Source organism: Homo sapiens, chromosome 12, assembly GCF_000001405.40.
Source record: "Homo sapiens chromosome 12, GRCh38.p14 Primary Assembly".
NCBI lineage: Eukaryota > Metazoa > Chordata > Mammalia > Primates > Hominidae > Homo > Homo sapiens.
Window position 1 is genome coordinate 117,751,698 of NC_000012.12, and position 23,827 is coordinate 117,775,524.

Sequence of the window (23,827 nt, forward strand, 5' to 3'; positions counted from 1 at the left end):
ACACCTGCTTAATGTGGGTCTCATCACTTTGTACCAAACTGCCACTTGGAGGTAGGGGGCAAAAAAGAATGGCCCCTGAGGATCCACAGAAGAGATGCCCAATGCTGCCTGCATCCTCTTAAGTCAGTATGGTGCTGAGCGTGTCTGAATGCTTAGTTAGCCTAAAAGGAATTACCAAATGAGTATGGCAGAAGTCTTCCTATTTTAATGAATATACTATTACCCACAGACTAGTCATTCCTCTCTTGCCCTTATAAATATATTAGAGATCCTTGTAATAATTAGCACAATGATTTGTAGGTGTGTGCTAGTGAGTTTAAGTGCTTATACCTAGTTTTCTAAAACAGACAAAAATATACCTCCTGAAATCTTATTTACATAATGAATCTGTTAGGCAAAGCCTGTTTCCATGCAAACAACAAATGATATAGCCTAGGCCAAGCACGAAATATGAATTAGTTGGAACAGAGAGAATGGGGTTTGAGTGAAGGTATAATAAACACGGCTCTTATCCAGCCTGGTTCTCTCTGCTCACAGGCCAGCTGAAGTTTTTGACATACTGTTCCATAAGGGTGGAGGTGAAATGTGTTCACTCACAAACTACACACGTCTGAACACAGCGACATGTACCAAGGAATGTTCTAGATGTGCTTTGGGGAAAACAGAAGAATTTCCAAAGAAGTAAATTGTGAAAAGGTCATAAATGGAATATTTGTATTTGTGCAGGACTAATAAAGGCAAGTCACATTAATAAAAGCATATAGTGTGGTTCCAATAATGAAGAAAGGGAACTAGATATATTTCATATATGCCTACAAACATGAATAAATGCACACAAGGATTTATATCAAAGTATTAATAGCAGTTATAGTAGTTCTCTGTGACAAGGGAAATGGAGAATTTTATCATCTATTGCTTACATTTTATTTTGCTTGTATTTTCAAAATAAAGATATATCTGCAAATTACTTCTGTAATTGCAATTATAATTGAAAAATCACCTTTAACAAGGATTTGAAAAAATATATATGTGATAGGATTCCTTTTTAATACTGAGCTTCTCCTGCACATTTAAAATATAATTCAGTTTACAGAAATGCAGTTTACCCTTTCAGATCTTCTGAAAAGAAGGAACAAGCCATTTGTATTGTGGGCAGACCTAAATGAGAAAATCTGAAGACATACAAATCATTGCACACATAGAGTTGTTAGGATCTTTCTTCCCCCAACAACGTGGCTGTGGGTGTGGGATCCTTGGGATGAAGATCAAGATAACCAGAATCCCTGAGATCATTCCCTCTTAATTTTCTGAACAGCTCACTATAAGGAATCAGTGCCTGTTTACCTTTCTAAGTATGGCCACAAAGCCAGAGGGAAAACAAAGGCTGATAAGAATGTCAGAGGGATTCTTGATAACTCTCCATGCCTATGGCTAACTGCATTTATAGGATTAAATCCATAATCTATGTCAGTGTTTCTCAACCCGTTTTCTATTATGGCTCCTTTGGGAACGTTTTTAGATTTTGTGGTTCCTAATCTCCATCCCTAACCTCCAGTGAAATTTTCATAAGCGCAGATATGGTGTATCTCTGTTTACATACGGTGGCTCCTTGTGAAGGAGAGGCATAAACTATTGTAAAAATCCAAGATTTTTCCTGTCTTTCCCCAATAACCAATCTTTGTCCCCTCAGAGGTGATTTCAGCCCCATTGAGAATTCATGCTCTATGTATATCTATGTATATAAGTATATGTGGTATATATACACTATGGAATACTACACAGCCATAAAATAGAACAAGATCATGTCCTTTGCAGGAACAGGGATGGAGCTGGAAGCCATTATCCTTGGCAAACTAACACAGGAACAGAAAACCAAATACCGCATGTTCTCACTTTTAAGTGGGACCTAAATGATGAGAACACATGGACACATAGAGGGGAACAACACACACTGGGGCCTTCCGGAGGGTAGACGGTGGGAGGAGGGAGAGGATCAGGAAAAATAACTTATGGCTACTAGGCACCTGGGTGATGAAATAATCTGTACAACAAACTCCCATGACACAAGTTTACCTATGTAACAAACCTGCACTTGTACCCGTGACCTTAAAATGAAAGTTAAAAAAAAAAAAAAAGAAGAAGGAAAACAAGAACATCAGCACATATTTCCCACTGTCTTCATCACATTTCCAAAGTTGTTTCAACTTCCACAATAATCAATCATTACTTTTACTGGGGAAAGTATAGAGCGTGTGTGTGTGTGTGTGTGTGTGTGTGTGTGTGTGTGTGTGTGTGTGTGTGTGTTTTAGGAATGCCAGAGGAATAAAACCATATACTTAAATGCAAAAATAAAAAGAAAGGAAAAGAAGAAAATAAACAGTTCTTTGAGAATGAACACAAAACAGGGGAAACAGCTTTGATTAGACTAATCATAGCAGTTCTAACACATTCCAACACACCTAGACAGCAAATCTCCCAGTGGAGATGACAGACATGCTATGGCCAGTATATTCTTGTTTTCTTGTCATGCTCATTCTGAAAAGGCACGTGAGATACTACTGGGGACAGGAGGAAAACCCAAACAGATCATCTGATAAAAACCACCACGGGTGTGCCTGAGAGCACCAAGGATAAGGGGCCTAAAAAATAGCCTTCCTCGGCCAGGCATGGTGGCTCACACCTGTAATCCCAGCACTTTGGGAGGCTGAGGCGGGAAGATCACCTGAGGTCGGGAGTTCAAGACCAGCCTGATCAACATGGTGAAATCCCGTCTCTACTAAAAATACAAAAATTAGCCAGGCGGCATGGCATGCACCTGTAATCCCAGCTGCTCAGGAGGCTGAGGCAGGAGAATCGCTTGTACCCAGGAGGCAGAGGTTGCAGTGGGCTGAGATTGTGCCACTGCACTCCAGCCTGGACAACAGAGTGAGGCTCCATCTCAAAAAAAAAAAAAATTAGCTTGGGGTGGTGGCAGGTGCCTGTAATCCCAGCTACTTGGGAGGCTGAGGCAGGAGAATCACTTGAACTTGGGAGGCAGAGGTTGCAGTGAGCTGAGATTGCGCCATTGCACTCCAGCCTAGGCAACAGAGCAAGACTCCATCTCAAAAAATAAAAATAAAAATAGCCTTCCTAGCCTTCCTCCAACCCAAGACCTCCTTTGGTATTGTGTGCTTGAAAAATCACAGCAACCAACAGTTTTGAAAGCTTTGGAACCTGTTCACAAAGATCTGTGACTGTTGAAACTCAGATTCATTCCATTCAGAGGAAATAAAAGCAGACTGAACACTAGTTAGCCACAGAGATGGTTCCCAGCAGGACTACAGGGGTGAAGGAGAGAAGAAACCAGACATGAAAGAGAGATAACTGGAACCAGAATGCACCAAATAGCTCTGGAACTATCTCTGGCTACATTTCACAGAAGAGAGGGCAAAGGCTTCTCAAACCTTCTCACCTACTCCCTGATGGGGTTTATTCTAGAATCAAAGCTGTTCAGAGTAGGAAGAGCCTCCAGCGGGGTAAAAAGAAAAGGACACACAGGCATATCTTGTTGTATTGCACTTCACTCCACTGCACTTTGCAGACATCACATTTTTTTACAAATTGAAGGTTTGTGGCAACCGTGCATTGAGCAAGCCTCTCGCTGCCACGTTTCCAACAGCACAAGCTCACTTCATGCCTCTGTGTCACATTTTGGTCATTCTAGCAATATTTCTAACTTTTTCATTATTATTATATCTGTTATGGTTATCTGTGATCAGTGATCTTTCATGTCACTATGGTAATTGTTTTGGGGTGCCACAAACCGTGCCCATATGACAGTGAAATAAATCGATCAATGTTGTATGTGTTCTGACTGCTCCACTAACAGGCTATTCCCCATCTGTCTCTCCTTTTCCTGGGCCTCCCTATTTTCTGAAACACAACAATATTGAAATTAGCCTGATTAATAACCCAACAATAGCCTCTAAGCGTTCCAGTGAAAGGAAGAATTGTACATCTATCACTTTAAATCATATGCTAAAAATGATTACGCTTAGTGAGGAAGATACGTCAAAAGCCAAAATGAACTGAAAGCTAGGCTTCTTATGCCAAATGGTCAAGTTGTGAAGGCAAAGGAAAAGTTCTTTTTCTTAAGGAAACTAAAAGTGCTATTCCCGTGAGCACATGAATGATAGGAAAATAAAACAGCCTTATTGCTGATACGGAGAAAGTTTTAGTGGTCTGGATGGAAGATCAAGCCAGACACAACATTCCCTTAAGTCAAAGCCTAATCCAGAGCAGGGCCCTAACTCTCTTCAATTCTATGAAGGCTGAGAGAGGTGAGGAAGCTGCAGAAGAAAATGTGGACACCAGTAGAGGTTGGCTTATAAGGTTTGTGGAAAGAAGTTGTCTCCATAACATAAAAGTACAGTGAAGCAGGAAGTGCTGATGGAGAAGCTGCAGCAAGTTACCTAGATCTAGCTATGATCACTGATGAAAGTGGTTACACTAAATGACAGATTTTCAATGTAAATGAAACAGTCTTATATTCAACGATGCCATCTAGGACTCTCAGAGCTAGAGAGACGAAGTCAGTGCCTGGCTTCAAAGCTTCAAAGAACAGGCTGACTCTCTTGTTAGGGACTACCGCAGCTGGTGACTTTTAAGCTGAAGCCAATGCTCATTTATCATGCCAAAAATTCTAGGGCTCTTACGAATTACGCTAAATCTACTCTGCCCGTACTTTATAAATGGAACAGCAAAGCCTGGATGATAGCACTTTTGTTCACAGCATGGTTTGCTGAATATTTTAAGCCCACTGTTGAGACCGACTGTTTAGAAAAAACAAGATTCCTTTCAAAATATTATTGCTCATCGACAATGCATGTGCTCAACCAAAACCTCTGATGAAGATGTACAAACAGATTATGTGATTTTCATCCCTGCTAATACATCCATTCTGCAGCCCATGGATTAAGGAGTAATTTTATCTTTCAAGTCTTATTATTTAAGAAATACATTTTATAAGGCTATAGCTGCCATAGATAGTGATTCCTCTGATGGATCTGGGAAAAGTAAAATAAAAACCTGCTGGAGGCCGGGTGCAGTGGCTCACGCCTGTAATCCCAACACTTTGGGAGGCTGAGGTGGGTGGATCACCTGAGGTCAGGAATTTAAGACCAGTTTGGCCAACATGATGAAACTCCATCTCTCCTAAAAATACAAAAATTAGCCAGGCATGATGGTGGGCACCTGTAATCCCAGCTACTCAGGAGGCTGAGGCAGGAGAATTGCTAGAACCCAGGAGGTGGAGGTTGCAGTGAGCCGAGATTGCTCCATTGCACTCTAGCCTGGGTGACAGAGTGAGACTCCATCTCAAAAAAAAAAAAAAAGAATCTTCTGGAAAGGATTCCCCATTTTGGATGCCATTAAGAACATTCGTGATCCATGGAAGGAGGTCAAAATATCAACATTAACAGGAGTTTGGAAGAAGTTGATTCCAACCCTCATGGATGACTTTGAGGCATTCAAGATTTCAATGGAGGAAGTAACTGCAGATGCGGTGGAAACAGCAAGAGAACTAGAATTAAAAGTGGAGCCTGAAGATATAACTGAATTGTTGCAATCTCATGATAAAACTTAAATAGACAAGGAGTTGCTTCTTACGGATGAGCAAGGAAAGTGGTTTCTTGAGATGGAATCCACTCCAGGTAAAGATGCCTTGAACATTGTTGAAATGACAAGAAACATTTTAGAATATTGCATAAACTTAGTTGACAAAGCAGTGGCAGGGTTTGAGAGGATCGACTCTAATTTTGAAAGAAGTTCTACTAGGCTATCAAACGGCATCACATGCTACAGAGAATTTTTTGTGAAAGGAAGAGTCTATCTATGTAGAAAACTGCATTGTTGTATTTTAAGAAATTGTCACAATCAGCCCAACTTTCAGCTACCATCACCTTGATCAGTCGGCAGCCATCAACATTGAAGCAAGACCTTCCACCAGCAAAGAGTATGGCTCACTGAAGGCTCAGATGATCATTAGTGTTTTTTAGTATTAAAGTATTTCTAAATTAATGTATGTACATTGTTTTTTAAGACATAATGCCATCATACACTTAATAGACTACAGTATGGTATAAAACATAACTATTCTATGTACTGGGAAACCCAAAATTCGTGTCATTCACTTTGGGATCTTTATCGTGGTGGTCTGGAACCAAACTCACAATATCTCTGAAGTATGCCTGTACTTACTGAAAACAAGTTTTACAAAACAACACTAAAACGCTTACCAGATGCAATGTGTTCCAATATACTCTAGTCTAGGCTAGTCTATTTCATTTTTTTAATGCTGGTCACAAGCCATTAAAATAATGCTATCAACCACAAATGGGTCATGACCACAAATTTAAAAACACAAATGTATTCTAACCTCTTGGGTCCACAGCTGAGAAAGCTAAGATTCAGAGAGGTTAAATCCAAGGTCAAAAGGCTACTTCCTGGCAGGATCAGGACTAGTTTAGACCCAGGTAAATGATGACTGTTGTTATCAGTCTAATAATTGGGACTCACCTCAACTAACGCCTCCTTTATAAATCCTGATCAGAATTCACCTCTACCCATGACCCCCGCTGCCAACATTATTCAGGTTGCTGTTATTTATGTTTTAGTTTTTTTAACACCCCCAGGCCTGCTGCCCTGATATCCCTGTGAACCTGGAGGCATGGTCCCAGGCTAAGTGGTCCCACGGCATTTTCCACATCACCAAACTGACCACTCTGTTCCTCTCCTCTACTGCTTCCTTGCCATGAACCACAGCATCCCCCAAGGTGGGCCAGGGAACTACCAGCCTTGAGGAAGTGATGAGCTTGCTAACTCAGCCAGAAGAAACCTGAAGGGCAAAGCTTAACGCCACCTGAGTCCTGATACACAAATTCCAAAAAACACTAAAGGTGGCCAAGTCAATTTGGAAGGCCTTGAAGAAGTGGGCCATTCAACCCTATCCAGGCAGAATAAATCCTTCAGGGGTCTAGGGAAAGGACAGCATTTAAAAACCAAAGGGCAGCCTCTCTCACTTGGCCTCCATCTTGCAGATTAGAAGATGATGTGTCTGGAGAGTCGGCTTTCTGATCAAGTTTCGCCTTACTAAGTGGTGCACCCTGGGAAAGGGACAGGGAGAAGCACAAAGTGTGGGGCCACCGTAGCAACCAAACCCCAAATGCCTCTTCCACCCTCCACCTTAGCAACCTGCACTCCCAGCCTTCCTGGAACTTTACCCCACATCTTCACCTTGAGGTTTCAGCAGGCCCCAATCTCTGTGGCTCTCACAAAACCATGCAAATCAAACACAACTCCAATCAGAAAAGCATCTATCCTCTGCTTCACCCTCAGAGGTCTCAAACATGCATTCTACGTCTTCAAGCTAGGTTTCACATAGCAGCTTAAATATGACTGTTGTAAAATCACATGTTCCACGTCAATCACTGTAGGGCATTCCCAATGCTTCAGAAAAGAGATCACTCTCTACACTACGGCTTCAGACAGGGCTTGGTAAATCACAGTTCATGGGCCAAATTGGGCCAGGTACCTGTTTTTATAAATAAAGTTTTATTGGAACACTGCCATGCCCATTTGTTTACCTATTGTCTGTGCTGGTTTTGTGCTACATGATAGAGTTGAGTAACTGCAACAGAGACTGAATGGTCTGCAAAGCCTAAAGTATTTACTATCTGCCCCTGTACAGAAAAAGTGTGCCAACCCTTCACTTACAGAATCCTGCCTTTTTAAAATGGTGATAAAATATACATAATATAAAATTTACCATCTTAACCATTTTGAAGTGTACAGTTCAATGGTACTAATTACATTTGCATTGTTGTACAACCATCACCACCATCCATCTCCAGAATGTTTTCATCATCCCAAATGCAAAGTCTATATCCAATAAATAACAACTCCCCATTCTCCCTCCCCTCAGCCCTGGCATCCACCGTTCTACTTTCTGCCTCTATAAATTGTCTACTCTAGGTATCTCATATTGGTGGAATTATACAGTATTTGTCATTATGTGTCTGGCATATTTTACTCTTAGCATGCTGTCTTCAAGGTTCACTCATGTTGTAGCATATATCAGAAGTTCCTCCCAGGTCGGGCATGATGGCTCATGCCTGTAATCCCAGCACTTTGGGAGGCCAAGGCGGGCAGATCATTTGAGGTCAGAAGTTCAAGACCAGTCTGGTCAACATGGTGAAACCCTATCTCTACAAAAACTACAAAAAATTAGCCAGGCGTGGTGGCACAGGCCTGTAGTCCCAGCTACTTGGGAGGCTGAGGCAGGAGAATCACTTGAACCTGGGAGGCAGAGGTTGCAGTGAGCTGACATCCCACCACTGCTCCAGCCTGGGCAACAGAGCTAGACTCCGTCTCAAAAAAAAAGAAGTTTCTTCCTTTTTAAGCCTGAATAATATTGCATTGTATAGATAGACCACACTGTGTTTACTCATTTGTCTACTGATGGACACAGGTTGTTTCTACTTTTTGGCTACTGTGAATAGCACAGCAACCTGCCTAATCCTCGAGTCTCACCCTACATCACACACCTGCTCTCTCCCCCAAAGGGGTCCTCTGTCAATTTCCCCAACGTGTCCTGCTTCCTACCACCTTCAACTGAGATGAGCCGTGGATATAAAATACACATTCAATTTCAAAGACTTTGTATTTTAAAAAATGCAAAATATCTCTGTAATGATATTTTACATTGATTCTTTGTTAAGATATTATAATTTTGATATATTGGGTTGAATGATGTATTATGATCATTAATATCACTTGTTCCTTTTCATTCTTTTTAATGTGACTACTAGAAAGTTGAAGGTTAATATATGCCTCATATCCTATTTCTAGGAGCGGCACTAGGCTAGACTCTGCAGGGGTTGGCAAACGTTTTCAGTAAAAAGCCAGATGGTAAATACTTTCAGCTTTGTGGGCTATTCTCACTCTGCCATTGTCACACAAAAGCAGCCATAGGCAACACATAAAGGAATGATCATGGGCGTGTTCCAATACCTTTTATTTACAAAATCAGGCCGGGTATCAGATTTAGCCCCTAGGCCATAGGATATTAATCGTATTTTTTAAACGGCCAATTCTGGGAAATTCTGTTCTATTCATTTGCTCAGAACCCTCTGTGAAAAGCCATTTTTCATTCAACCAGAGTCTGGAACGCAAGTCTGTTCCCGGTTTCCTTGACCTGGGCAGTTCCTGGGACCAAGGGGCAGCCCCTCGCAGGCCGGGTTTCGACCGCCCCAGGGCACCCACCGATCGCACTCACTTGGGCGTGTGGGCCTCGTCCACGCGGTGCCCCAGCTGGAACTCGTGGGATTTGCTCCGATGCAGCGCGGTGAATCCCGGGATCAAGTGTATCAGTTTTCGGGAGGAGGGCGGTGGGGTCCCCGGGGGCTTCAGCTTGTTCTTCTTCCTCATGGGCGGCGTGCCCGGCGGGGTCACGGTGGTGACGATGTTGGGGGTGCGCGGCGGGGTGCGGACCGCGTGCCGCTGCCGGGGCGATGGGGGCAGGGAACGGTGGCCCGACTCCAGTGGCGGGGGCGGGCACAAGCCCGGGTAGGCGTCCACGGTAAGCCTGTCCACGTGGGTGTACACAGGGGCCCCGGGAGTGGGGCTGGTGTGACAATAGTGCTGGACGCACTTGGACGGGACCCTGGGGCTCTGGGAGAGATGGGTGCGGATCCACGGGGTGGGCTCCGGGGGGCACACGGGATTGTTCTCCTTCCCCGTCTCTGTCGTGGGCCACTGGATGGTCCAGTCTTGTTTGGAAAGGTTGCCTCCTGAGTTGGAACAGAAGAGCAGAGACAATGGGTAAGCCATGAGAAAGCCAGGTGAGTTACACCATACACACCATTACATCATACACACATTACACCACGTGCCCATTACATCATGTGCATGTTACACTATATACCTGTTACATCGTATGCATGTTATCTCATATGCAAATTATATCTTATGCACATTATACCATGTGCCCATTACATCATATGCATGTTACACTATATACCTGTTACATCGTATGCATGTTATATCATATGCACATCATATCATATGCATGTTACACTATATATCTGTTATGTTGTATGCATGTTATATGCACATATCATATGCACATTACACCATATGCATGTCACATTATATGTGCATTACATCATATGCATGCTATTTCATATGCCCATTACCTCTTACAGACATTCTATCAAATGCATGTTACATCATACCCACATTACATCATAAGTACATTTACATAAAGCCAACCATCTCTACTTGGCTCCTCCAAAAAGACAATAAAATCCCCTTGTTGACCCTGTTACCCTATTCTCCATTCAACAGCCTTGCCTTCCACTGCCCCATAGCTGGGAAGACCCCACAGCCCAAATGCTCAGAAAAGCAAAGAAGTTAATTCTCACTTTTTGAACTTCCCAAGGTCCCAGTTCTGGTAGTTTCAAAGTGATTTAAAGGACTTTAAAGGATAACTTTTCCCTTACATGGAAATTTTAATACCTAACCCTCATGTGAGATACACAAATTCCAAGGAAGTCAAGTTCATCCTTAGTCCCTCCCTGACCACTTCCTCAGCCACCGCATACTTCCTCCAGATCTGTGTCGCCATGTTCTTATTCATGCATTTGTCCAGTAAACATCCTGTGAGTGCCAACTATGCCCTTTGCTTGGAAAAGACACAAAAGCAACACAGATGAGACCCTGGTCCCCTGGACTTACATTCTGCCAAAGCAGCCATGATAGACAAGAAAACATGCTCACAGAAGGATTTCACATGGTTATTGGTGCTGGGAGGGAAATAAACAGAATGACGTGATAAAAAGAATATGGGCAGCTGGGCACGGAGGCTCACACCTGTAGTTCCAGCAATTGGGAGGCCGAGATGGGCAGATTACTTGAGGTCACGAGTTTGAGACCAGCCTGGCCAACATGGTGAAACTCCATCTCTACTAAAAATACAAAAAAATTAGCTAGGTGTGGTGGCGTGTGCCTGTAATCCCAGCTACTCAGAAGGCTGAGGCAATAAGAATCGCTTGAACCCAGGAGGCAGAGGTTGCAGTGAGCTGAGATCGCACCATTGCACTCCAGCCTGGGCAACAAGAGTGAAACTCAGTCTCAAAAAAAAAAAAACCTTTTTTTTATTTTATTATTATTATACTTTAAGTTTTAGGGTACATGTGCACAATGTGCAGGTTAGTTACATATGCATACATGTGCCATGTTGGTGTGCTGCACTCATTAACTCGTCATTTAACATTAGGTATATCTCCTAATGCTATCCCTCCCCTCTCCCCCGACCCCACAACAGTCCCCAGAGTGTGATGTTCCCCTTCCTGTGTCCATGTGTTCTCATTGTTCAATTCCCACCTATGAGTGAGAACATGCGGTGTTTGGTTTTTTGTCCTTGCGATAGTTTACTGAGAATGATGATTTCCAATTTCATCCATGTCCCTACAAAGGACATGAACTCATCATTTTTTATGGCTGCATAGTATTCCATGGTGTATATGTGCCACATTTTCTTAATCCAGTCTATCATTGTTGGACATTTGGGTTGGTTCCAAGTCTTTGCTATTAAAAAAAAAAAATCTAAAAATCTAATGGTGTATTAACATTTTTCATTCATTTGCCATATTGACAGTGCAAATACAAATTTGGTCTAAAGACACAGATTCTCATGCAACCACGTAAAGCCTTTCTGCATCCTCCATGCTAAGAGCTCTAAATGCATAAAGATCCAACAACACCAAATGTGCAGGCTTCAAAACCATCTAAGTTAGGGCAGTCACTTTCCTAGGTCTCTTTCCCGGGTGCCTGCATGAAGGTGGTGTTCACAACTGTGTGATGACAATGGGGTGACACTCAAGGAGAGGCTGAAGGGACAGGTGAAAACAGACTGCCAGGTCTGTGGGCTAAGGTGCAGATTGGCTTTTATACCAAGTCCAACAGGAAGCCATTGGGAGTTTTGAGGCAGGGGAGGCATGGATTGAATGTTCATTTCTCAAAGATCACTCAGGCTGCTGCGGGGAAAACTAGAGCCCAATTAAGGGGTATCTCAGGGAGTTGCAAGAGATGATGCTGGCTCTGGTTTGGGTGGTGGCAGCAAAGATGGAGAGAAGTCGGCCAGGTGTCAATGAAGGAAGACCCACCAGAACCCAGAGGAAGGTAACCACGTGGCCACTTCCATGATGGGCCAAGGAAGGAGATTTGGGGCGCAAAGAAATTCCTAGCTGACTAGCAATAACAATAATAATTACTATAACGACTGTAACAAGAGCTAATTTATAGCACATTTGATGGTTTCCAAAGTGCTTTCATGAACACTGACTCACTGTCCCATTTTTAATTAAAACAACTCATTTTGTTATTATATATTCAGTACAGAAAAATTAGAAAATTGAGATAAGAAAAAAAGGCAATGCTGTTCTACAGCCTAGCCATCATCCCTATCAATAGCTGATGGTCGAGCCTTCCAGATGGTTTGGGGCGGATTTTTTTTTTTTAAGGAAAAAAAAATTCCATAAGACCATATTTAATGGTTCATTGTCTGTTTTCTTCACTTGTTATATTGGGACTGTTTACATCTAACTTAATTTTTGTAACTCTGTGTGCAAAGGGTCATTTTGATTTCCATTTTGTAGGTAAGGAAACTGATGCAAAGAGATGAAGATCTGCTTAAGGTCACAAGAGAGATGGTAACTGGCAGCCAGATTCAAACCCAAAACTTCGGCCACCTCAACAAGCAGGGCATGAGGCTGTCTGTGAAAGAGAACTGGGGCCTCCATTTGCCATCATAGATCATTCAAACGGGAAAAGATACTGAAACAAAGGCTCATTTCTCAAAATGAGCCTCCTCCCAGGCTTGCCAGAAGAACACTCTACCAAAGTCACCATCATTACAGTATCTACTCTCAAATATTGACACATACACATTAGCCCAGTGAGTAAGAGAGTCAACGCTGGAGTCGGATGACTTGGGCTCCAAATCTGACTCCCCACCACTTATGGCTGTGTGACCTTGGGCACTCATCTAACCTCTCTAAGTCTTAGCTTTGTCACCTGTGCAATGGGACAATAAGAAAACCTAATAAAACTCAGGGACTAATAAACAATAATAAAACCTAATAAAACTCAGGGACTACTATGAGGATCAGATGCACAAATACAAGCAATGTGCTTAGCACAGCTCCCAGCACACAATAGGTACACCATAAATGCTAGCTACTGGCATTGTAATTCTCAACACTGTGGTAATACATCAATATCTGCTATTTAAAGAGTGTGTAGTGGTTCTGACAGCTTTACTATTCTCACCCTTTGTACAGTGAGGAAGTGACATTTAGCTGAAGCTAAATAGGTCTAAGAGCCAGAACAGAACAGAGAATCAAGTTAAGACAAGTTTCTCCATCGCATGGTAAGCTCTGGATTGATGTATTTGCTGAGGGAATACAAGCTCGTTGTCAAGTTAGCCTAAGTAAAGCCTGTTTAAGAAAGTCAATCTATTTTCTAAGCTGTCTTAATCAAATACTGCACCATGAAGCCACAAAGTAGTGCTTTTGGCATTATCATGACAAGCTGTTGTCCATCCTGAATGAAATGGAAAGAATATGGGATTGGGAACCAGAAGAACCCAATAGAATTCTGGTTAAACCACTGACCAGCTCTGTGACCTTGGGCAAATTACTTAACCTCCCTGAGCTTCAGTTTGGGGGCTCATAAAATGGGAATAATTATGGCTTTGTTGGAGGGTGCAGTGAGAATTAAATGTATTTATTTTACAAATATTTGAACACCCTTTACGTACCAGGCACTGTTGTGGACACCAGAATAGAACAAGAAATAAAACACACACACTCAAAAAAAACCTATTTTTGCAGAGCTCACATTCTTAGTAGGGAAACAAATGAAACAAGTAGATGAACAAATTTATCATATATGTAGTGATAGTAAGTCTTCTAGAGGGAAAGAAAGCAGGGCACAGAGACAAAACAAGTGTTGGGGGCTATTTTAATCGCAAAAGGATGAGGAGGTGACAGTGGGCATTTGAGCAGATATCAGAGTGAAGTGAGGACTGAATTAATAAGATAAAGCAATCAAACCATCAGACAGAGCCTGAGCCATTATGTCAATGCCAACAAATGGCAGATGATTGAAGATGGGTGAAAACATCTATTCTGGGTGCCTTGTGACTCATCCCCTTTGTGCCCAGGCATTCACTATGCCAGCCCCTGCCCTCAAGATGATCCCAGTCTAGTGAAAATGATCAATAATCAAAAAACTCTCACTGCAGTTCCATCCTAGGTACAGACCCCAAATAATTGAAAGCAAGGACTGAAATACTTGTAGACAAATACTCATAGCAGCACTATTCACAATTGCCAAAAGGTGGAAACAACCCAAGTGTCCATCAACTAAGGAATGGATAAACAAAATGTGGTACGTCCATATAATGGAATATTATTCACCCATAAAAAGGGAAGAAGTACTGATTCATGTGGATCCACCTTGAAAAACACTATGCTAAGTAAAAGAAGTCAGACACAAAGGGTCATATATCATATGATTCCATTTATATGAAAAATCCCAAAGAGGCAAATCTATAGAGAAAGAGAGCAGATTCGTGGTTGCCAGGAGCTGGGGCTGGCAGGGAATGGGGAGTGACTGTTAATAGGAATGGGTTTTTGAGGGGGTGATGAAATAGGTTTGGAACTAAATAGAGGTGGTGGTTGCACAATCTTGTGAATGAACTAAATGTCACATCCTGGTTTACTTCGAAATGATTAATTTTATGTTATGTGAATTTTCCCTACATAAAATGAATCAGTAAGTACTCACAATACCAAACACAGAATCCTAAGCTAGAAAAAGTGCAGGAGCATACAGGGCACAGAAGAGTGGAACCCCACTGGCCAGGAGGTGGGGGTGGGTAGGAGAAGGCAGCCTGGAGGAGGTGGCACCTAAGCCCAGAACTTGAAGGTGAACAAGAGTTCCCAGGAAAGGTGGCAGTGAGGTGGGTGACAGCAGAAGGATGGTAAGAGAGAGAACAGCAGGGTCAAAGGCCAGGAGATGAGGGACGTGGGAGTTTGGAGAACTGCCAGTCGTTCAGTATGGCTAGAGCTATTTTTCGGGATGGGGCGGGGGCGGGGTGGTGAGACAGAGTCTTGCTCTGTCGCCCAAGTTGGAGTGCAGTGGCACAATCTCGGCTCACTGCAACCTCCACCTCCTGGAGTTCAAGCGATTCTCCTGCCTCAGCCTCTCGAGTAGTTGGGACTACAGTGGCCTCGTGATCCACCAGCCTCAACCTCCCAAAGTGCTGGAATTACAGGCATGAGCCACTGCGCCCAGCCAAGCTAGAGTTATTTTGAGAGAGGAAAAAATTAGGCCAGGCGCGGTGGCTCACGCCTGTAATCCCAGTACTTTGGGAGGCCGAGATGGGCGGATCACGAGGTCAGGAGATCGAGACCATCCTGGCTAACACAGTGAAACCCCGTCTCTACTAAAAATCCAAAAAAAAAAAAAAAAAAATAGCCGGGCGTGGTGGCGGGCGCGTGTAGTCCCAGCTACTCGGGAGGATGAGCTGGAGGCTGAGGCAGGAGAATGGCGTGAACCCGGGAGGCGGAGGTTGCAGTGAGCCGAGATCGCTCCACTGCACTCCAGCCTGGGCGACAGAGCGAGACTCCTGTCTCAAAAGGAAAAAAAAGAGACAAACAGGTACACAAAAAGGAAATGAGGCTCTGGGGAAGATGATTGTGAAGTCTAGTTAAAGAGGCTGGGCACAGTGGTTCACAATGTAATCCCAGCACTTCGGAAGGCCAAGGTGGGCAGATCACTTCAGGCCAGAAGTTCAACATGGCGAATCCCTGTCTCTACTAAAAATACTAAAATTAGCCAGCTGTGGTGACCCACGCGTGTAGTCCCAGCTACTCGGGAGGCTGAGGCAGGAGAACGGCGTGAACCCGGGAGGCGGAGCTTGCAGTGAGCCGAGATCGCACCATTGCACTCCAGCCTGGGAGACAGAGCAAGACTCCGTCTCAAAAAAAAAAAAAAAAAAAAAATTCGAGCCAGGCTGGAGAAGAAGTGAAGGGAGGACTTCCCAGGGTTTTGCTCTTCTAAGCGGAAGGGGACGCTGAGAACTAAGGGCCGGTGTGACTGATCCCCTTGCCACTGGCCTCCCAGAGAGGGAGGTGGTCTCCTCCAGAGCTCCTGGAGACCTGCTGCAGCTGAGGGCTTGTGGCAATCAAACTTGGTGAGGAGTGTGGTGGAAGCTCTGGTCCACCACACCACACAGCTGCTTCAAGGTTTAGACCCTAGTCCCGTGGTCATGCCAGGAGAGGAGCTGAAACTCCCCTAATCATAAATGATAATGGGAAGGAAGCTAACTTTCTGTAGGGGCCGATATTGCTGTATCCTTGAGGCTTGGACCCCAAACTCCTGCTCATGCCGAGGAAGGGCTGGCTCTCCCCATGGACAAATGCAGACAAGTGGACTGGAGCTGGAGGCCAAGCATCTGCCCACAACATTGCTGCTGAATGCCAGCTCCTGATCATACCAGGGGAGGGGCTGGTGCTTCTTTGATCATATGGCTTAAAAGCCACACAGCCCAATGGATGGGATCCATGGAGTCCTTCTGGAGCCCAGTGTGCCAGACCAGGGTGCAAAGGACAATGGTGAGTGTGGGGACTATATACCTGCCACTCCTGTCCATGTGTGATTAAAGCTGTCCCAGAAACCCTGGTGCACAGGCTGTGTGGGCATCCGTCCTTGCGGCTCAACAGGGCTCCTGTGTGTAGGGAAGCTGAGCATCATGGAAACATGTCTCTGACCATGGTGTGGAGAAAGGATTGGACAGGGCCCGGCAGCAGCAGGAGCCCAGCCTGAGGCTCCTGGAAGCATCTGGATGGGAGATGACGGGGACCTGGGATAGTTATGGCAGTGGAGATAGAGAGAGGTGGAGTGACTGTATATTAGAAGAGAAAAAAGGAAAAATAGCCAACATTTATTGAATTTACACATAAAAAGTTATAGACCCACGGAACAATCCAACAAAGTGGGTGGAATTTACTCTGTCTTACAGATGAGGAAACTGAGGCACAGAGAGGTCAAGTGGCTTGCTCGAGGCCACAGAGCCTTGTCCAAGAAGGACATGTGGGGTTTGGGTCTTCACCTGACCCATAACCAGGACATTAAGTCCAGGCTGATGTCCCAGTTGCTAGCCTGGGTCACACAGTGGCCGGTGGCACTGATCACAGCAATAGGAAATGCAGAAGGAAATTGGGCACAGATGAGGTGGCAAGCTCAGGGTCAGACAGGCTGAGTCTGAATTTCCTGCAGGACACCCAAGAGCAGATTCTGGAATGCAGCTGAACCTTAACTTCCCCTTCTCCCAGAAACCCCGGGATCACTCCCCAGGAAGAAGTTATTTTTCTAGCCTGAAAAGATTGAGCACAAAATTCTAAAATCTCATCTTAGTGGGTTTTTTTTTTCTACAAAGACATGATTATTTCATCACGTTCACCTACTGTTCCTCTCCCATCTGATCTCTGAATCTCCAGAGTAAACATCCCATGACCCTGAATTACATGCTGGTAATGCAGGTCTGGAAGAGGGGGGATCATGAGCCTGTCACTCACTGACTAACTCCCCCAGAAAGGAAGATACCTCTGCATATGGAAGACTTGCTTTCTGAACTGAAAGAACAAGAGTTAATTCTCCTAAGTCAACGCCAACACTTAGACATGAATTTGTCCCTAAAATTCCTCACTGTGACTCCGTTTCTTCATCTGTAGAATGGGGACAACAGCAGAGCTTTCCCCCATGATTGCTCTGAAGATTAAATAAAACCATGCAAACAGAGCATTTAGCTTCATTCCCTAGCACACAGTCAATGTTGTATAAATGTTCATGTACAAAGAGTGTAAAACCATCTGTTTCACAGAACGCCACTGAGGATTAAATAAATGCATACAGTGCTTTTCATTTTGAGCCTGACACAGAGCTCACACTCAAGAATCATCCAGTCCTGCCAGGTGCGGTGGCTCACACCTGTAATCCTAGCACTTTGGGAGGCCGAGGCGGGTGGATCACCTGAGGTCAGGAGTTCAAGACCAGACTGGCCAACATGGTGAAACTCCATCTCTACTAAAAATACAAAAATTAGCCAGGTATGGTGGCACATGCCTGTAATCCCAGCTACTCAGGAGGCTGAGGCAGGAGAATCACTTTAACCTGGGAAGGTGAGGTTGCAGTGAGCTAAGATTGTGTCATTGCACTCCAGCCTGGATGACAAGAGTGAAACTCCATCTCAAAAAAAAAAAAAGAATCATCCAGTCCTTATTCCTGGTCTTGGCAGGTGCTAACTCTGACAGAAAGAAAGCTCAGGGTTATCAGAAGCCTTTATTTTGGGTTGAACTGCAGCCTCCAGTACCTTATTTGCATATAGGATCTTTGCAGATACAATCAAGTTAAGATGAGTTAATACTGGATCAGGATGCATCCTAAGTCCAATGGTTTGTGTCCTTATAAGACGAGGAGAAGACACAGAGGAGAACGTCATGTGAAGACAGAGGCAGGGGCTGGAGTGATGCAGCTGCAAACCAAGGAGCACCAAGGATGGCCAGCCACCCGCTGAAGCCGTGGGACAGGCAAGGAACCGATTCTCTCCCAGAGCCTTTGGAGGCACTGTGGCCCTGCCAACACCCGATTTCAGACTTTCAAGCCCCTAGAACTGTGGGAAAGTATGTTTCTGCTGGTTTAAGCCATCTAGTTTGCGGTAGATTTTTTTTACAAAAGCCCTAGATAACTCATTCATTTGCTGGACACTGACTGGGGGACTGCCACATAAAAGCCTGCCTGTGGAGTGCAGCCACCAGATTCTGTGTTAGGAAACTGGTGCTGATCTCACCTGCCCTGTAAAGTAGATGTTATTGACAGTTATCGGTCGGGCGCGGTGACTCACGCCTGTAATCCCAGCATTTGAGAGGCCGAGGCAGGCAGATCACGAGGTCAGGAGATCGAGACCATCCTGGCTAACACGGTGAAACCCTGTCTCTACCAAAAATACAAAAAAAAAAAAGAAATTAGCCATGCATGGTGGCGGGCGCCTATAGTCCCAGCTACTCGGGAGGCTGAGGCAGGAGAATGGTGTGAACCCGGGAGGCGGAGCTTGCAGTGGGCCAAGATCGCACCACTGCACTCCAGCCTGGGCGACAGAGCGAGACTCCGTCTCAAAAAAAAAAAAAAAAAAAAGACAGTTATCAACAAGTAATGCTATAAAGCACTTTATGCATGTATTCAATCCTCCGTGGCATCCTGTGAAATAGATGCTTTTACTCCCTTTATACATGAACATTTATACAACATTGTGAAAGGAAAATAAATCTTGGAAGACCCAAAGTCACTAAGCTAAAGGGAAAAGTCAAGCTGGGAACTGCTTAGGACAAACCTGCCTCCCATTCTACTCAAAGTCATCTCTCTGTTCACTGAGATAAATGCATATCTAATTGCCTCCCTTGGAAAGGCTAATCAGAAACTCAAAAGAATGCAATCGTTTGTCTCTCGCCTACCTGTGACCTGGAAGCCCCCTCCCTGCTTGAGTTGTCCCGCCTTTCTGAATGGAACCAATGTACATCTTACATAATCTGATTGATGTTTCATGTCTCCCTAAAATGTATAAAAGCAGACTGTGCTCTGACCACCTTGGACACATGTCATCAGGACCTCCTGAGGCTGTGTCATGGGCGTGCATCTTCAGCCTCGGCAAAATAAACTTTCTAAATTAATGAGGTCTGTCTCAGATTTTCAGGGTTCACAACATTGGCTGTGTGCTTACTGTGCTTGGGATGGGGCTAAATGCTCTAATTGCATCGTTTCATTTAATCTTCAGAATAATTCAAGGGTAAAGTTCTGCTGTTATCCCCATCCTACTGATGAAGAAACTGTAATGTTATCAACAAGTAATGGATAAGTGACAGGTCATGGCTAAAGTCTTATAGTTGGTAGTAACCTACACCCTCACTTTCCCCTTAATCACATGGCATCCTGCAGCTGAGCTGGGACCCACCCCTCCCCGTAGCCTACAGTTCCCCCAAAGACACACAAACACACACTCACACATACCACTCCCCCAAAGACGCACAAACACACAGTCACACATACATACCATTCCCCCAAAGATGCACACACACTCACACATACACACCATTCCATCAAAGACGCACACACACTCACACATACACACATTCCCCCAAAGATGCACAAACACACACTCACACATACACACCATTCCACCAAAGACGCACAAACACACACACATACACGCCGTTCCCCCAAAGACACAAAAACACACACACATACACACCTTTCCCCCAAAGATGCACATACACTCATACATACACACCATTCCCCCAAAGACGCACATACACATACACACCATTCCCCCAAAGACGCACAAACACACACTCATACACACACACCATTCCCCCAGACGCACAAACACTCACACATACACACCATTCCCCCAAAGACGCACACACACTCACACATACACACCATTCCCCCAAAGACGCACAAACACACACTCACACATACACACCATTCCCCCAAAGACGCACACACACTCACACATACACACCATTCCACCAAAGACGCACAAACACACACTCATACACACACACCATTCCCCCAAAGATGCACACACACTCACACATACACACCATTCCCCCAAAGACGCACACACACTCACACATACACATCATTCCCCCAAAGACGCACACACACTCATACATACACACCATTCCACCAAAGACGCACAAACACACACTCATACACACACACCATTCCCCCAAAGACGCACACACACACATACACACCATTCTCCCAAAGACGCACACACACACATACACACCATTCTCCCAAAGATGCACACACACTCACACATACACACCATTCCCCCAAAGATGCACAAACACACACTCACACATACACACCATTCCACCAAAGACGCACACACACACATACCATTCCACCAAAGACGCACAAGCACACACTGACACAACACACCATTCCACCGGGGCCACGGGAACATCGACTCGCCCTCAAGTTTACTTTCTTTCCTTGAAGTTTGTTCAAAGTCTGAGAGAGAAGCAGAGAGGAAGAAAAGTCTTACCCTCTGCCAAATTATCTTTCCCATGAAATTATCTTCCTCTCCACCCCTACACTTCAAAACTAGAAGTTTGGGGCTAAAAATGCAAAAAGTCTCATTTCATTATCCAAATTACCGGCTTCTAAATTGACAGGGATTCAACTTCTCTCTGCCGAAGCTTCAGCAGCGTTTCACTGATGAGCTGTATTGTATCAACTCTTCCCTCTCTCTTTTGATCCTCTTTTTAATAAAGTCTGAGGGAAATAGGTAATTTATCATTTTAAATAGGAAAGGTGTGGTAGCAGGGGGCTCTGGGGGTTATTAATTGTCACCCTTGCTATCTTGTCATCTGTTTCTGGCAAATCATTTTATTTCAAGTCTTGAAATGGGTGGGGAGAAGGGAATAGGTTTTTAAGAACTGAAAGGTCTGAAGATTGATTAAAGACATTTCAAGGTGTAGGGGTTTTTCACTTGACATTCTCTGATAAGGGACTAAGAGAAATAAAAGCCATTCTCAAGGGAAAAAGTGATTTCAGAAAGTCTAAGCAAGTGTCTAACTTCTTTGTCCCTTCCCATTAAAATGTTATAAACAGGCAATCACGTGGCTTAAATTTCTCTGAATTTCGGAGCCAGCATTGGAATCTACACAGTAGATTCTTTAGCTCTTCAGAGGCAGAAGTGACAGAGAGTCTACCATTCCAGGATCAACACTGCTTGTAACTTTTGTGAATACTTCAATGCACTTGTTAGTTTAATCCTCAAAACTCTCTAGCAAGAAGCAGAACTTTTAGATGCTGGCTGAAAATATTAGGCTGAAGTCATTGGTAGAAGAAAAAAACTGTTTTTTGGTTTAAATCCTCATAACTTTCTGGCAAGAGACAAAACTTTTAGACACTGGTTGAAAATATTTGACTGGAATCACAGGAAAAGCGAAGTACAATAAGTACTAGTAGTACAAATGACAATTACTGTTTGCTGTGCCCCTACCATGTGCCAGATACTATTCTAAGTATTCACGTGTATCACCTCATAGTATCCTCACAAGACCCCATGAAGAAAATTCCGCTATTGTCTCCACTTCACAGTGCTAGGAACAGATAATTATTTGAAAGACTGAGTTGCCCTAGGTTACACAGCTAGTAAGTGGTAGATCAGGGTTTCTGATCCAGATCTGTACCATTGGAGGGTTCTCTGGAGCCCCCTAACCCCTCAGGAAATGAGAGACCCGTCCAGAAAGCCCTTGGAAAGCTGAGCCATTATACACAGGCTTGTGGGTCAGCACCTGGGGCAGCTCCTTCTGACCTCCCGAAAGTCAAATAGGACATTCATTTTAGCCACAATCCCAGAAAGCCTGAAACCGAAAATCCAGGAAAATTTTTTGAGTTTCGAGTTTGTCATCCTTGCAAAAAGAAGCGAATAAGGACAAATGAAAAACATACAGTTGCCAAAGTAATTCAACATTAGCAAGAATCTTAATCTAAGACCTCATTAATGAGCTTGGCATTCAGCAGAACCCTGGGTCTCGTTGGGCACTAGCCCCGCCCCAGGATGTCCCCAGGTAGAACCAAACAAATGCACTGACCCTAGTCTGGGCAGGTCACCTGGGAGATGGGACAGGGCAGGGAGCACAGGCTCTGACCCCGTAATGCCTCCCACGTCCTGCTCTATGAGATTCATGATTTTATTACCCACCAAGAGACTGGGAAGATTAACCTTCAGTCACTAACTTTAGGGTAGCTTTTTTGTTTTAACAAAGCTCTTTTTAAGAAAAAATGTATTGAGGTGAAATTCACATTAACCATTTCAAAGTACAGAATTCGGCACCACTTAGTACATTCTCAATGTTGTGTAACCGCCACCTCTATCTAGTTCCAAAACACTATCATTACACCCAAAAGAAAACCCTGTCCCCATTCGCAATCCTTCCCAATTCCCTTCTTCCCCCAGCCCCTGGCAAGCCCTAAACTATTTTCTGTCTCTGTGGATTTGCCTATTCCAGCTATTTTATATGAATGGAATCCTACGCTATGTGGTCTTTCGTGTCTGGCTTCTTTCCTTTTGCATAATGTTGTCAAGGTTCATCCAAGTGTAGCATGTGTTGGTCTTTCCTTTCTTGTTATGGCTGAATAATATGTATACACCACATTTTGTTTAAGCATTCCTCAGCTGATGGACATTTAAGTTGTTTCTACTTTTGGCAAGTGTGCATAGTGCTGCTATGAACATTTGTGTACGAGTATTTGTTTGAACATCTGTTTTCAGTTCTTTGGGGCATATATCTAGGGGTGGAGTTGCTGGGTCAGATGGTAACTCTGTGGTTAACCTTCTGAGAAACCACCCTGCTGTTTTCCACAGTGCCTGCATCATTTTACATTCCCACCCAGCAACATATAAAGGTTCTGACTTCCCCACATCCTCACCAACACTTGTTAGTTTTTGTTGTTTATCATCATTGTCATCATAGCCATCCTAGTGGGTGTTTAATAAAACATTCTTAGTAATGGCCATAGCTAACATTTATCGAGCACTTACTGTGGGCTGGGCTTTTGCAGCATCTCCTCTCATTCTCACACCTTATTTCATTTAATTCTCATAACAATCTTGTGAGATTGAGAGGAAATTACAGCTCTGGAA

The 23,827-nt window shown here is 43.9% G+C and overlaps 1 protein-coding gene across 7 annotated transcripts in view; it reads right to left on the reverse strand.

Annotated features, from left to right (window-relative positions):
* KSR2 (kinase suppressor of ras 2) overlaps window positions 1-23,827 on the reverse strand; it is a 515,979-nt gene that overhangs the window by 298,686 nt on the left and 193,466 nt on the right. For all 7 annotated transcript variants that reach the window (XM_011538224.4, NM_173598.6, XM_011538225.4 and 4 more), the window contains exon 4: window positions 9,314-9,827. In XM_011538224.4, coding sequence (XP_011536526.1) covers window positions 9,314-9,827 — 514 coding nt within the window. The remainder of the gene's footprint in view (window positions 1-9,313; window positions 9,828-23,827) is intronic.